The 12,696-nt window shown below is 45.0% G+C and overlaps 2 protein-coding genes across 7 annotated transcripts in view; one reads left to right on the top strand and one right to left on the bottom strand.

Annotated features, from left to right (window-relative positions):
- BCCIP (BRCA2 and CDKN1A interacting protein) overlaps positions 1–12,696 on the bottom strand; it is a 30,150-nt gene that overhangs the window by 2,022 nt on the left and 15,432 nt on the right. Inside the window, exon 7 of one of the 2 annotated variants that reach the window (NM_016567.4) lies at positions 10,344–10,419. In NM_016567.4, coding sequence (NP_057651.1) covers positions 10,344–10,419 — 76 coding nt within the window. Of the gene's footprint in view, positions 1–8,871; positions 10,420–12,696 lie in introns of those variants that run through there. The other variant, NM_078469.3, reaches the window with a different exon arrangement.
- DHX32 (DEAH-box helicase 32 (putative)) overlaps positions 1–12,696 on the top strand; it is a 60,149-nt gene that overhangs the window by 44,812 nt on the left and 2,641 nt on the right. For all 5 annotated transcript variants that reach the window (XM_047425470.1, XM_047425468.1, XM_047425469.1 and 2 more), the window contains 3 exons: positions 9,740–9,931; positions 10,678–10,827; positions 12,486–12,673. In XM_047425470.1, coding sequence (XP_047281426.1) covers positions 9,740–9,931; positions 10,678–10,827; positions 12,486–12,673 — 530 coding nt within the window. The remainder of the gene's footprint in view (positions 1–9,739; positions 9,932–10,677; positions 10,828–12,485; positions 12,674–12,696) is intronic.

The raw sequence follows: 12,696 nt of genomic DNA, 5'->3' as shown, positions 1-12,696 counted from the left end.
TGCCAGAGAAGTATATTTTGGGGTGGCATATTCTAGTCTCCTCCAGTCATATTTTGGGGTGGTGTGTCCTGAGCCCCAACAAGATAGGTTTCATTTTTGAAAATTGCTCTTCCAGTCCCACTGTTCATCTCATAAGCCCAGGAATCACCACCTGTTGATTTCCTAGGCATCTTCTTGCTCAGGGTAGTAGATGTTTGGTGGACTAGAAATGCAGGGAGAAGAAAAGGAAGGCTTGGTGATGTCAAGGATTTTTAAAAGCAAACTATCTCACTGTGTTCTCTCAATAGTCACCCTCTGTGCTGCTCATTCCATGAGGCTTAAAGCTGATAACTGGGGGACAAAAGGGTTAGGGTAACAATTTATTTTTGTCTCCTGACAATACACACATAACTTTTCTGCTGTGCTTGGGGAAAATATAACTGTGGATTAATTCTGACTCATTGTTTTGGAAGCAAAAAAAGAAAAAGATGCTCGCAGCTGCTGCATTTAATTCAACTTATAATTGAAATATGCAAATCCAGCAAACTAGTTACCCTTTTCAGGATGCATGAACCATGTGAAAATGAATTTGGCATAACTAGGCTACAGGCTGTTAATTGAATTCCCCTGATCTGGACCTCTTTTTAAAAAATCAGTTGTATTTTTCTTCCTTGGCTGCCTGACAATTGACCTCCATCCTGAATGACACAGTCACTGTCCATTGGGGTAGGAGGCCTCAGGACCAGCTGACCACTTCAGTGGAAACAGATGGCCTGAGACTGCCGCTACCCTGGGAAGGCAGTGGTACCTAGATAGAAATTTGGAGAAAAACTAGCCAAAAGGTACCAGACTACACCAGAGGTCATCTTTGTATTCAGAGGCAGAACTCATTTTGGTAGTAGCCAGATGACTGGCTTTGGTATGATCTATGATTCTTTGGATTATGAAAAGAAAAGTGAACCCAAACACAAACAGGCATGGCACGTTAGATAAGGCAACGCCTCATGAAAACAGGGGAAAATGCAGGAAGAAAATAAAGTTGCTGGGCACAGTGGCTCACGCCTCTAATCCCAGCATTTTGGGAGGCCGAGGTGGGTGGATCACCTCAGGTCAGGAGTTCAAGACCAGCCTGACCAACGTGGTGAAATCTCGTCTCTACTAAAAACAAAATTAGCCGGGCATGGTAGTGCATGCCTGTAATCCCAGCTACTTGGGAGGCTGAGGCAGGAGAATCACTTGAACTCAGGAGGTGGAGGTTGCGGTGAACCAAGATTGCGCCATTGCACTGCAGCCTGGGCAACAAGAGCAAAACTCTGTCTCAAAAAAAAAAAAAAAAAAAAGAAAGAAAGAAAAGAAAGTCAAAGGCTGCAGAGGCCAGGGATGGCTCTGGTGAAAAGAGGAATTAAAGATTCTGCAGGGCTGGGCATGGTGGCTCACACCTGTAATCCTGGCACCTTGGGAGGCTGAGGTGGGAGAACTGCTTGAGGGCCAGGAATTCAAGACCAGCCTGGGCAATATAACAAGACCCCATCTCTACAAATTTTTTTTTTTTTTTTTTTTAATGAGCCAGGTGTGGTGGCATACGCCTGTAGTACTAGCTGTTTGGGAAGCTGAGTCAGGAGGATCACTTGAGTCCAGGGTTCAAGGTTGCAGTGAGCTATGATCGTGCTACTGTACTTCAGACAGGGTGACAGAGCAAGACCCTGGTTCAAAAGAGAAACAAAAGATTCTACAGTGGTGTCATCTGTTGTGATGGTGCAGATCTTTCACCAGAGGATTCCTAAACCAATTCATCAAGACCTTCTGGAATAGTATTTACCACACTAAAAGCCCAGTTTGTAAGAATACTAGAGAAGTATATGCGCTTGTTTGTAAATCACTTGGAAACTCAAGATTTGGCTTTGGAATTTACAAAATGATCTTTAAATGTTAACGTAACATTTACTATACTATATATAACATTTACATGTACTAAGAGGAGAATGGGAGGAAGCAGGCTGCCAACGGCCCTCACATGTGGCCCTCCCCATAGCTCTGCCGCAGTGCCTGACACCTACCGGCAGGACTGGCACTGCCCAAACAGCCCAGAGAGTCGAGCAAATATTCTAGCATGACTGTCAGGAGGCCACAGCCTAGGTTTTTAAGTTAATGAAGGTTACACTATTATCTGTTTAAAGGCTACACAAAAGTTACTACTATACTCAGATGAGGGGGTGTGAAAAAGAGACGCAAACATGCCAAAACAACTTTCCAGGGCCAGTGTGTGAGGATCTTGGAAACAATAAAGTAAATAATGTTACAGAAAGTGAAAACAAAATCCAGGAGAGGTTTTAAAGGGCCCAGAATGGAAGTACTTTTGGCTCCTGAAGCCCTTTAGGCTCTTGTGGGCCTGGGAACTATATGGCTTATCATTTAAGTTGATATGTTTTTGCGTGCAACAGTGCAGGCGGAAAGATGGCTGTGGCTCAGCAGGAGTGACCCCTCCCTGCTAACAAAACAAAACAAAACAGCAATTTAACTTAATGGAACCTGTTTATTTTGCGATGAATTCAGACAAACTGACCATGTCCCTGTGAACTTCATGGGACAGGGGCATGAATGCTATTAATGATTAAGCTGGGATGAAAGGTGGAAACAGATACTGCCCTGGGTAAACTGGGGTAGATGGTCCCCATATTGAGGGGACTATGCCAAAAGGCACAGGCTCTTGGGCCAGGCTGCCAGGGCTCCAAGCCTGGCCCCATCATTTGCTAGTGGGGTATTATTCAGTAAATTAGGACTCTCATTGCTTCACTTCATTTATCTGAATATGAGGATAATCAAAGCAATTGGTTCATAGAGTTATTAAGATAAATTAGTTAACATATGCATGCCCCTTAGAAAAGTGACTGGTGTATAGTAAATGCTATAGCACAGTCATCGTCTGAGTGACTCCTACCTGAGCTCTGCACCACAGGGGCCCTGAGCTGCAGAGGGTCCTAGAAAGAGCAGTTTTAATGGGTGTGAGAAGCAGATAATGACCCTCAGTTATTAGGAGACATCACCAGATTGCCTCTGAGATGGGCCGGAGCCAGGAAGAGCCATGGCAGATAACAGCAACAGCACTGGACTTGGGAGTCCAGCATCAGCTGTGCTGGCAGAGCATGCCAGGTGCCAGGTTCAACACTGCCGGTGGAAGGCCCAAGTTCAAAACCTCACTTTACATATGACAAAACAGCTGGGTGGCCATGTGGCTTTGGCAAGCCACTTGTCTTTTTCTCATCTGTAAAATTAGGGTAGAGTGTCTGCCCTCTTGTATCCTGGGGTTATTTAGAGGTACAAATGAGATGTTTATGCAAAATTGCCATGTACAGTGTAAAGGAGTAGGAGTTAGGCAAATGCCAGGTTTTGGGAACATGTCCCTGTGAAATTAAGTGAAGCAGAAGCCTTTCCTCCCTGTCCTCTTCAGAGCCAACTCTTAATGCTATTCCCCAGAGGCCCTAGACATTGTAGAGTCTTAGGGTCTACACCATCTCTTCATTCTTCAGTTTCTCCCCCTGTGGACTCTTTTACACAATGCCCAAGTCCCAACCCTAAAATAAATCAGAAACAGAAGCTTCATTTGCTCCTTCAGCCCTCCTAAGTGATAACTGCATTTTTCTCTGTCCATTTATGTAAATGTGTATATACATTAATGCAGGGGTCCCCAACCCCTAGGCAGTGATGGGTACCAGTTCGTGGCCTGTTAGGAACTGGGCCGGACAGCAGGAGGTGAGTGGGGGGCAAGCGAGCATTACTGCCTGAGCTCCACCTCCTGTCAGATCAGTGGCAGCACTGGATTCTCGTAGGAGCTCGAACCCTATTATGAACTGCACATGCCAGGGATCTAGGCTGCCCGCTCCTTATGAGAATCTAATGCCTGATGATCTGTCACTGTCTCCCATCACCCCCAGATGGGACCGTCTAGTTACAGGAAAACAAGCTCAGGGCTCCCACTGATTCTACACTATGATGAGTTGTATAATTATTTCATTATATATTACAATGTAATAATAATAAAAATAAAGTGCACATGTAACGAGCTTGAATCATCTCACAACCATCCTCTCCACCCTCTGGTCTGTGGAAAAATTGTCTTCCATGAAGTCGGTCCCTGGTGCCAAAAAGTTTGGGGACCTCTGCATTAATGCATGTACCTGGCACACAGTAGGTACTATGTGAGTATAGCTCTTTTTGTTCTTCCCTATGCTACGTCCCTACCATTTGGAAGTTCCAGTGGCACTCTGGAAGCACTCTGTTATAGAATGCATTATGTTGCAGTGGATATATTAAATTCTTCTGAATGCAAGCACTAGTAATCCAGCTCAAACTAGCATAAGGAAAAAGTGAATTATGATAAGGGAACTGAGGTATCTTAAGAAATCCAAAACAAGTTTTTTAGTTTCTCATCCCTGTATCTCTAGGTTCCCCTCCCTCCCTCCCTTCCATGGTATGGAACTGGCAGTCCCAGAACAACCTAGAAAAATCAGGAAGAAAAATGCATGGGTTTTAAAATGACCATACAATGGGTGTTTTCTATATGAGTAGTTAGCTGGCATTATGCAAATGTGTAGAGTCTCCCCCTGTGGACTCTTTTACACAATGCCCAAGTCCCAACCCTAAAATAAATCAGAAACAGAAACTTCATTTGCTCCTTCAGCCCTCCTAAGTGATAACTGCATTTCTCTCTGTCCATTGATATAAATGTGTATATACATTAATGCAGGGGTCTCCAACCCCCAGGCCGCGATGGGTACTAGTTAATGACCCGTTAGGAACTGGGCAGAGTCTTAGCTGCTCTCTGCCCTAAGCTTTATGATTTACTATGTCAGCTCCTGGAAACTCCCTTGGTCTAAAGTCGAAAACGCCCAAGAAAGGGAGCCATTGATTCTATTTGAGAAGCTGCCCACCCTGAACCAGTCCCCTGTGACTGGGGTTAGTAGTGATAATGTGGTGTTGTCACGTGGCACAAAATCCTGTCCTATAAGTATGGAAGTGAAGGTACAGTTCCTATAAAAGGGGACAATTTGGAGGTAAAAGTGCATTTCCAGTAGAGCAGGATTCTTGATTTACGTGTGCATCTCCATATATAAATGAGACCATCCATGCTAGAAGGGCCAAGAGTGAGGCTGTCCCAGATGTGTGCCTGCCCCAGAGCCTTGCCAGTGCCAATAGCACAAGATACTCAAAACAGACTGAGAGCAAATAATAATTTGAGCCTCACCCTTATGAGGAAATCATGAACCAACACCAAACATAAAGTCCTTTAACTACTCATATAGAAAACACCCACTGTATGGTCATTTTAAAACCCATGCATTTTTTTTCCTGATTTTTCTAGGTTGTTCTGGGGCTGCCAGTTCCATACTATCTAACTACAGTGCCAACTCTTGTTTAAAGATAGTTCTCTATAATGGTATGAGGGTGGGGAGAGTCTTCAGCTAGTCACCACTACAAAAACCTGGGGCCAGCTTCCTGGCTGTAAGAACAGTTACTGGGAGTGGAGACCGTTGGTAATTTGTGAAGTGGCAGAACTTTCCCAATGCCCTTACGCTTGAGGAATACTGACTAGACAGGTGCCCTCTAGAAGGCCGATAGTCTTCCCCAGAACATGAGCAAAGGCAGTCACGTGTGGGAGACAAATTCAGCTTCCTTCCCCACTTAGTCCTTTCTGAGGCCTGGGCGGTGGGAGTGATGTGACATGCAGGGAGAGTCGAGAGGATCAGGAGGTGCCTGTGGCTGTCAAAGGTCTGCGTGTGTTTCCTTCCATGTCACGGGCAGGAGCAGAGCTGGCGTGTGAGAGGTCTTCAGGCACAGCTAAGCTCGGAGGAGCTGGCCTCCGCCTGCCTCACGGTGCGGGTGGCACTGGGAGGGCAGTGGGGATACTGCCATTACCCGAGAGCCCTGCCCAGGGCAAGGCTGGACAGAAGGATCTTGGCTCCCGCCAGTGGGCAGGGAGTTGAAAATGCTTTTCTTCAGTTTACCATGGAGGCCACTCTATCTCTAACATCCTTTCCAACTCTAATGACTCAAATCCAGCCTTACTTCTCTGCTCTTATTGGGAAGAAAGGGGGTTAAGGAGTGTGGTGGAAGGAGAGGGAATGGCCCTGGCTTTGGGGACTGGTTACCAGGAGACCCCCTGCCCTATCCTCGTGAAAATACATGTCCACTTTAGACAAGAGAAGGCATGATGTTCTCTCTCCTATGCATATTCCCAGGAATAATTGCAGACTAAAACTTTTACCTGTAGGAAAGTACATATAAATATGTTGGCATACATTTGCATAATGTCAGCTACCTTGAGAGGAAATTCAGTGTTTCTGAGCCATTTTTGCCAGATTAGGCAGAAAGTAGGCCAAAGATTGTTATAACAAAAGAGACCTGGCTGGAGGAAGCCTCCTGAGCACCTGAGTAGACAGACTTCCTGTGAGGGTTTGGGAGCCAACCGAGGCTTCCTACCATCTGACATCTATAAGAACACTATAAGAACATGGGAAACATGCCGCGTGGGGCTGTCAGCTCTGGAACTGCCGTGGCCTTGGACTCCACTTGGCCTGTGCTCAGCTTGGAGTTAGCGCTGCATCGGCTCCTCCTCTGCTGGTTGCAGTTTAATGACCTCTTTGTAACTAGGTTTTCTACTGATGCCAAGGAAGGAAAATGCAGGCACATATTGGAGCTTGGCATTTGGGGTTCCACAGAAAACAGGCACACAGAACAGTGAAGAAATACTGTAATGATAGCCCTTCACATTACTTTGAGTGATGGTAGTGGAGGAGGAGTGTGACCTTGCAGTGAGCTATTCCACAGGGAGTACAGCTGCCGCTGGCAAGCGAGCTTAATAAAGATGATGTTTGGTTCATCTCAAAATTGCCTTCAGAATAAAGCAGTCTGATTTTGCACTGCCAGAACAAAGAGGCCTGACACTAAAACACTTCCATTCCATTTGTTAGCGTTACTTACTATGGATTATACTTAAGCAGCACTGCCCTAAAGAACCCCCATATAAACTCTTCTGCTTTTTAGCTAAGCAAGTTTATGGGCCACACTGGGGAGATAAAATGCAGAATATAATATTAGCAAATCCTATTTAGTTATTTATTAATGTTCTTCACCTGTGTAATCTGCATTCATTAACTCATTCTTTCTAATATAATAAAACCCCAAGAACATCCTCTCCTTTTCTGTTGTAGGACCAGGAGCAGAATCATGAAGTCATTTATGTTACTAACCCTGTGTGCGGCCAACTCAACTCCAGGGTGTAAAAATGAATAGTAGGTGCCCTTTGGGGACAGAGCCTGGCTGTCAAGCCAGATGCTTAAAGGGACCATTGCCAAAGATCCTGTAACTTATAATGCAGCAGCTTTGCTGATTTATAGAAACTGGTTTCTGAAAAGCTTTCAGTAGTTAAGTTTGTACTCCAGCCCCTTCCTGCTCTGTTTAAGATGCTTATTTCTGATGCTGCTTCTTGTACCTTCTCCAGCAGATCGGCTGTTACTTTTCATGTCATGCCTCACTGATAGAACTCTTGAACTTTTTTTCTGAATAGCCCATCTGTTTATTTCCCATGATTGTGATTTCTCAAGGTCATGGTTAGTCCAAAGGTCCCCAAGAATGAACAAGTAAGACGGTAATGCTGTATGTCAGGACCCAGGCAGGACAGGAATATCTCTGAGAAGCCATAAGCTTCTGCTCAGTTTTAAATCTTGATGGGAAAACATTCAGAATAGGGAAATTCAACATATTTGCCCCAAGGTAAGGATGAAAGCCTTGCTTCAGTACTCCAGCGGATGTCTGGGTTCCCTGCAGATTTCCCTTGGGTGGTTTGGCACTGCCCCCTCACTCCTAGTAGCAGATCTTTTGCCTGTGGTGGGCGCGTCAGGCTGAAGTTATATCTGGTGCTGGCTCCGCTGTCCTCCAGCAGGACTGGAGGTGTGGTAGGCTGCATCGCAGCTTCCCTGAGTCATTTCCCAGCCTACAGTAGTGGCTTCTAATGCCTTCCAGTTGTCCTGACAGGAATGGAGGAATTTTATCAAATCGAAGTTTGTGAGTAGGTTTTTTTTTTTTTGAGACGGAGTCTCGCTCTGTCGCCCAGGCTGGAGTGCAGTGGTGCCATCTCGGCTCACTACAAGCTCCACTTCCTGGGTTCACGCCATTCTCCTGCCTCAACCTCCCGAGTAGCTGGGACCACAGGCGCCTGCCACCACGCCCGGCTAATTTTTTGTATTTTTTTAGTTGAGACGGGGTTTCACCGTGTTAGCCAGGATGGTCTCAATCTCCTGACCTGGTGATCCTCCCGCCTCGGCCTCCCAAAGTGAGGTTTTTGAGCTACTCAGTTTGCCTGAAATTTAGACATAGAGCTTAATGATCAAAGTTTAGACAGCACATAAGAAAATTTTTACCATATGTTACTTTGAACTCCCAGGAGCAGACAGGTTCAAGCGCTTCTTAGGGCCCCAGAGTCTTCAGCCCCTGCCCACCTTGCACTTACTGGAACTAAAACAAAACCAACCTAGTGGCTCATAAATCCTGCAGTTTTGGGGTATAACAATACAGCAGCTTTCTATTATGGGATTTGCTTCATTGTGTGACCTGTATTGCTATACCAGGAACCAGAAGGGTGGACAAAACACATGTATTTATTTAATAAATATTAGGTTGGTGCAAAAATAATTGTGGTTTTTGCCATTGAAAGTAATGGCAAAAACCGCAATTACTTTTGCACCAATCTATATATAGCCTTATTCCACAAAGAGAATATATTTCTTTAAATAAATGGATTTTTAAAAACTTTGGTAAAGACTGAGCATATATAATACCACATCATTATCGATGTTACATAAACTTAAAAGAAATAAAGAGATGGAGAGAATCAGCTTGCTATCTTTATTTCTTTATTTGCACTGGGAAATAACATCTTTGTCTACTATTTCTAGCATCTGAGATCCAGGTCAGTTGTGATTAATTTTTCTCTGTATTATGCAATGTATTTTCCTGCTTTTCATGCCTCTCTACTGGATGCTAGACATTGTACATTTTACCTTCTTGGGCACTGAATATTTTTGTAGTCCCAGAGGTACTTTTGAGCTTTGTCCTAGGATGCAGTGTGATCCTTTCAGGTCCTGCTGTATAGCTGTGTCAGGTGGCAGTGCCCATCTAGGGTTTCTCACTTGTGTTTTCTACCCAGTGCCCCATAAATCATGAGGTTTTCCAGCTAGGGTGGTGGGAACAGGCCCTACCCTAGGTCCTGTGTCAGCACCACTGTTCCTTCTAATCTTCTCACATGGCTCTTTCTCTGGCCTGAGGTGGTTCCTTACACACATGCGCTGATCAGTAGGGCTGTGCTGCCTAGTTGAGGGAGCTCCCTCTGGCCCCCGACTTAGATCTGTGTGTCTCTCTCCAGTACTGTGACCGCGAGTTCCGGCCACCTTAGTCTCCCTGGATCCCTGGCATTGTTTTCCTACTGCAGGGAGGCTGGCAGGCTCCACCTGGGTTCCCCCCGCATGCACACTGCAGCTGGGACCCTCCTCGGAGCATGAGCTGGACAATCACAGGGCTCCCCTCCTGAGTTTGCCCTCTCAAGAATCACTATCCTTCACTCCCTGGTATTTGGTGGCTTGCAAACCGTTGTTTCACATATTTTGTCCATTGTTTGCTTGTTTCATGCAGGAGGGAAAAGTCCAGTACCTGTTTCTCCATCTTAGCCATATGAGACTCTTAAATTATTATTTTTTTCCTTTCCTAGCACCAGAAAGTTTGATGCAGGCATTGGAAGACTTAGATTATCTGGCAGCACTGGATAATGATGGAAATCTTTCTGAATTTGGAATCATCATGTCAGAGTTTCCTCTTGATCCACAACTCTCGAAGTCTATCTTAGCGTCCTGTGAATTTGACTGTGTAGATGAAGTGCTAACAATCGCAGCCATGGTAACAGGTATCCTTAATGACTATTCCTTTTCTTTTTTTGCAAATCTGCACTAGGTATAGATTTAGATCGGATCCATTTGAAATTATATTTTGAGGAGCACAGAGCAGAGATAGTGATCAACTCATTTAACCTTTTGAAATGATAGTGAGGTATTTTAATAGGTTAGAAAAGGAAAATTTTCTTAATATGAAAAATTATCTTAAGAAAACTAACTCAAAGTTCAGCAAATTTATACATCAGATGTATGAAAACATACTAGATTTCTTTTGCTGAAATAATCAGTGCAGATGAAGAAAATGTGTCACTAGAGGTGTTTTTCCCCAAATAATGTTGTGTGCCTGTTTTTTATTTCCTATTGGCTTCATTCATCCTGGCTTGTATGTTTTAATTTATTCTAATACTGGGGGAACAGACCAACCATTGTGCTGTATCGGAACTGGTTCCAATCCTCTTCTTGTGTCTGGACCTCCAAGCACCTCAGGTTTTCCCTGCTCCTGCCGGAATAGAAGCAGGATATTAACCATATTCAGTTGACCTTAGAAAAGCAAACACACACACACAAAAGGAGAGGGAGAATTAGGATGACTCACTCTAAATTTCTGGGATTTCTAAGTAAACAAGAATAACATATTTATTCAGAGTACCAAGACAGGAGCCATGCCACTAACAGTCGTGACCCCTCCCCTCTGCATGTTAGGCTAAGATAAAATGTCTTCATTATTGCTAACCATGTGACCTTTTTCATTTTGAAGCTCCAAATTGCTTTTCACATGTGCCACATGGAGCTGAAGAGGCTGCCTTGACTTGTTGGAAGACATTTTTACATCCCGAAGGAGATCACTTTACCCTCATCAGCATTTACAAGGCTTACCAAGACACAACTCTGAATTCTAGCAGTGAGTGTAAGTGAATGCTCAGAAACTACCTATTAATTCCACCTTCCTTTCCCTAGATAAGTCTGAGTCCTTATTAGTTATTCATCAAACATTCTTCGCCAGCCCTACTGGCCACTTGAATGCAATGGCACTTGAGGCCCTAAACGCACCCACAGGCATCTGCAGAGTGGGAGATGCTCAGTCCCCCTGCTCCCACGGAGCTCTGGTGTGCCACCATGGCGGGCCTGTACTTCCAGAGCTCCAGGACTCCACTCAGCCAGCCTTCAGAGCAAGCTTGCTTGGGGCATGGTGACGGGGGACACAGACTCGTACATGGGTCTTTGGAGGAAGACAAGAACAGCCACCTCTACGTGCCCACTGTCAGAGTTGTGCTGTGCACCTTCCGTATCCTGGCACATTCACCACGTGCATGCAGAGAGGCTGCAGAGCTCCAGATACTAGTGCAGAATAGGTAGGCTGGGGTGCTGAGGGGAGGCTGCAGAGTTGCTGACGGAGCTTGATAGAGGAGAGCAGAGGGTGTCCAGAGAAGAGAATGGCGCATGTCAAAGCAAAGCCACAAAGTCCTTTGTATGCCTGAAGGGCAGTGGGTAGCTTACCTGTCACAGGAAGGTACTCAGAAGTCAACTGGAAGCTGCTATGCAGACAGAAACAAGAGGAGGGGGCAAACAGGGCAAAGCAGCATAGCAGAGGCTAGAGCCACCCATAAAGGGCAGCCAGTAAGGTCCCTCCCTGACATTTTCCATGAAGCATCTTTTACCTCCTTTGTTCTGAAAGATGGTGTGAAAATATGTGAAGTAGTGTGAAAAATATGACAGCAATTTGAAAGACAGAATTGTATAAAGAACAGGGAGTTAGTGTTTCAAAGCTGAGAAGAAAAAGTTGTCAGTGGAGCCAGCAGGTACACAGGAATCTGGTGGCACCTTTTGAGGGCATGCTGAATGGGTGACACTAAGTACATGCTGTGGTTGCTCCGAGCAGCATGAGTGGACAGGACAGGGTAAATGAGGGTCTTCTGTCCATGGTGCCATGGCCATGTACATTCCCAGGTCCATCTTAAGTAATTACAGGTGGCCAGAAAGACTAACTTCAAACTCACCCACATGCCTGAATTTTAAGATAAAAGTTACAGCTAGGGTAGATAGATGAGCTTAACTATAACATAATTAATTCCCAAATCAACCTGGTAGTAATCCTGTTCTTATCATTAAATAAAATATGAGATATTTTCATAGATCAGAGGAATTTATACTGTGGGCTTTTTCCTGCCTAGTTTGATTAAATGGGACCACATACATACATGCTGTATGCATAGAGACACAACATAGATCTTACAAAATCCTCTCTGGCCTTTATGAGCCACGGGTTAGTGAAATACATCTTCAGTCACCACTAGGAACAGTTTCCACAGTTGGCTGGGATCACAGAACCCCAGCAGGTGGCATGGGTGCTGTCGGTGGCACCGTCTCCCTTCCTGGTAGTGCCCTGACAGCTGACCTTGCAGCCACCAGAAATCCTTGTCCTTGCTGCCTTCCTGCCACTCACCTACGTGGCCTCCTTTGTAGGAGAGGAGAGCACAGGGCTTAAAGATGGCAACTGCCTGGCCTGGGCTCTTCAGAGCTTCTGACAAATCATTTCTAAATAGCCTTGTGTTCTTTCCCTCCTAGACTGTGTGGAAAAGTGGTGTCGTGATTACTTCCTCAACTGTTCAGCACTCAGAATGGCAGATGTTATTCGAGCTGAACTCTTAGAAATTATCAAGCGAATCGAGCTTCCCTATGCAGAACCTGCTTTTGGCTCCAAGGAAAACACTCTAAACATAAAGAAAGCTCTTCTGTCCGGTTACTTTATGCAGGTGAGAAGGGGTGGGGTCACCTC

This window comes from Homo sapiens, chromosome 10 (genome assembly GCF_000001405.40).
Source record: "Homo sapiens chromosome 10, GRCh38.p14 Primary Assembly".
Taxonomy (NCBI): Eukaryota; Metazoa; Chordata; class Mammalia; order Primates; family Hominidae; genus Homo; species Homo sapiens.
The sequence above is the reverse complement of the archived record's forward strand: the minus strand, read 5'-3'. Positions and strand labels throughout refer to the sequence as shown.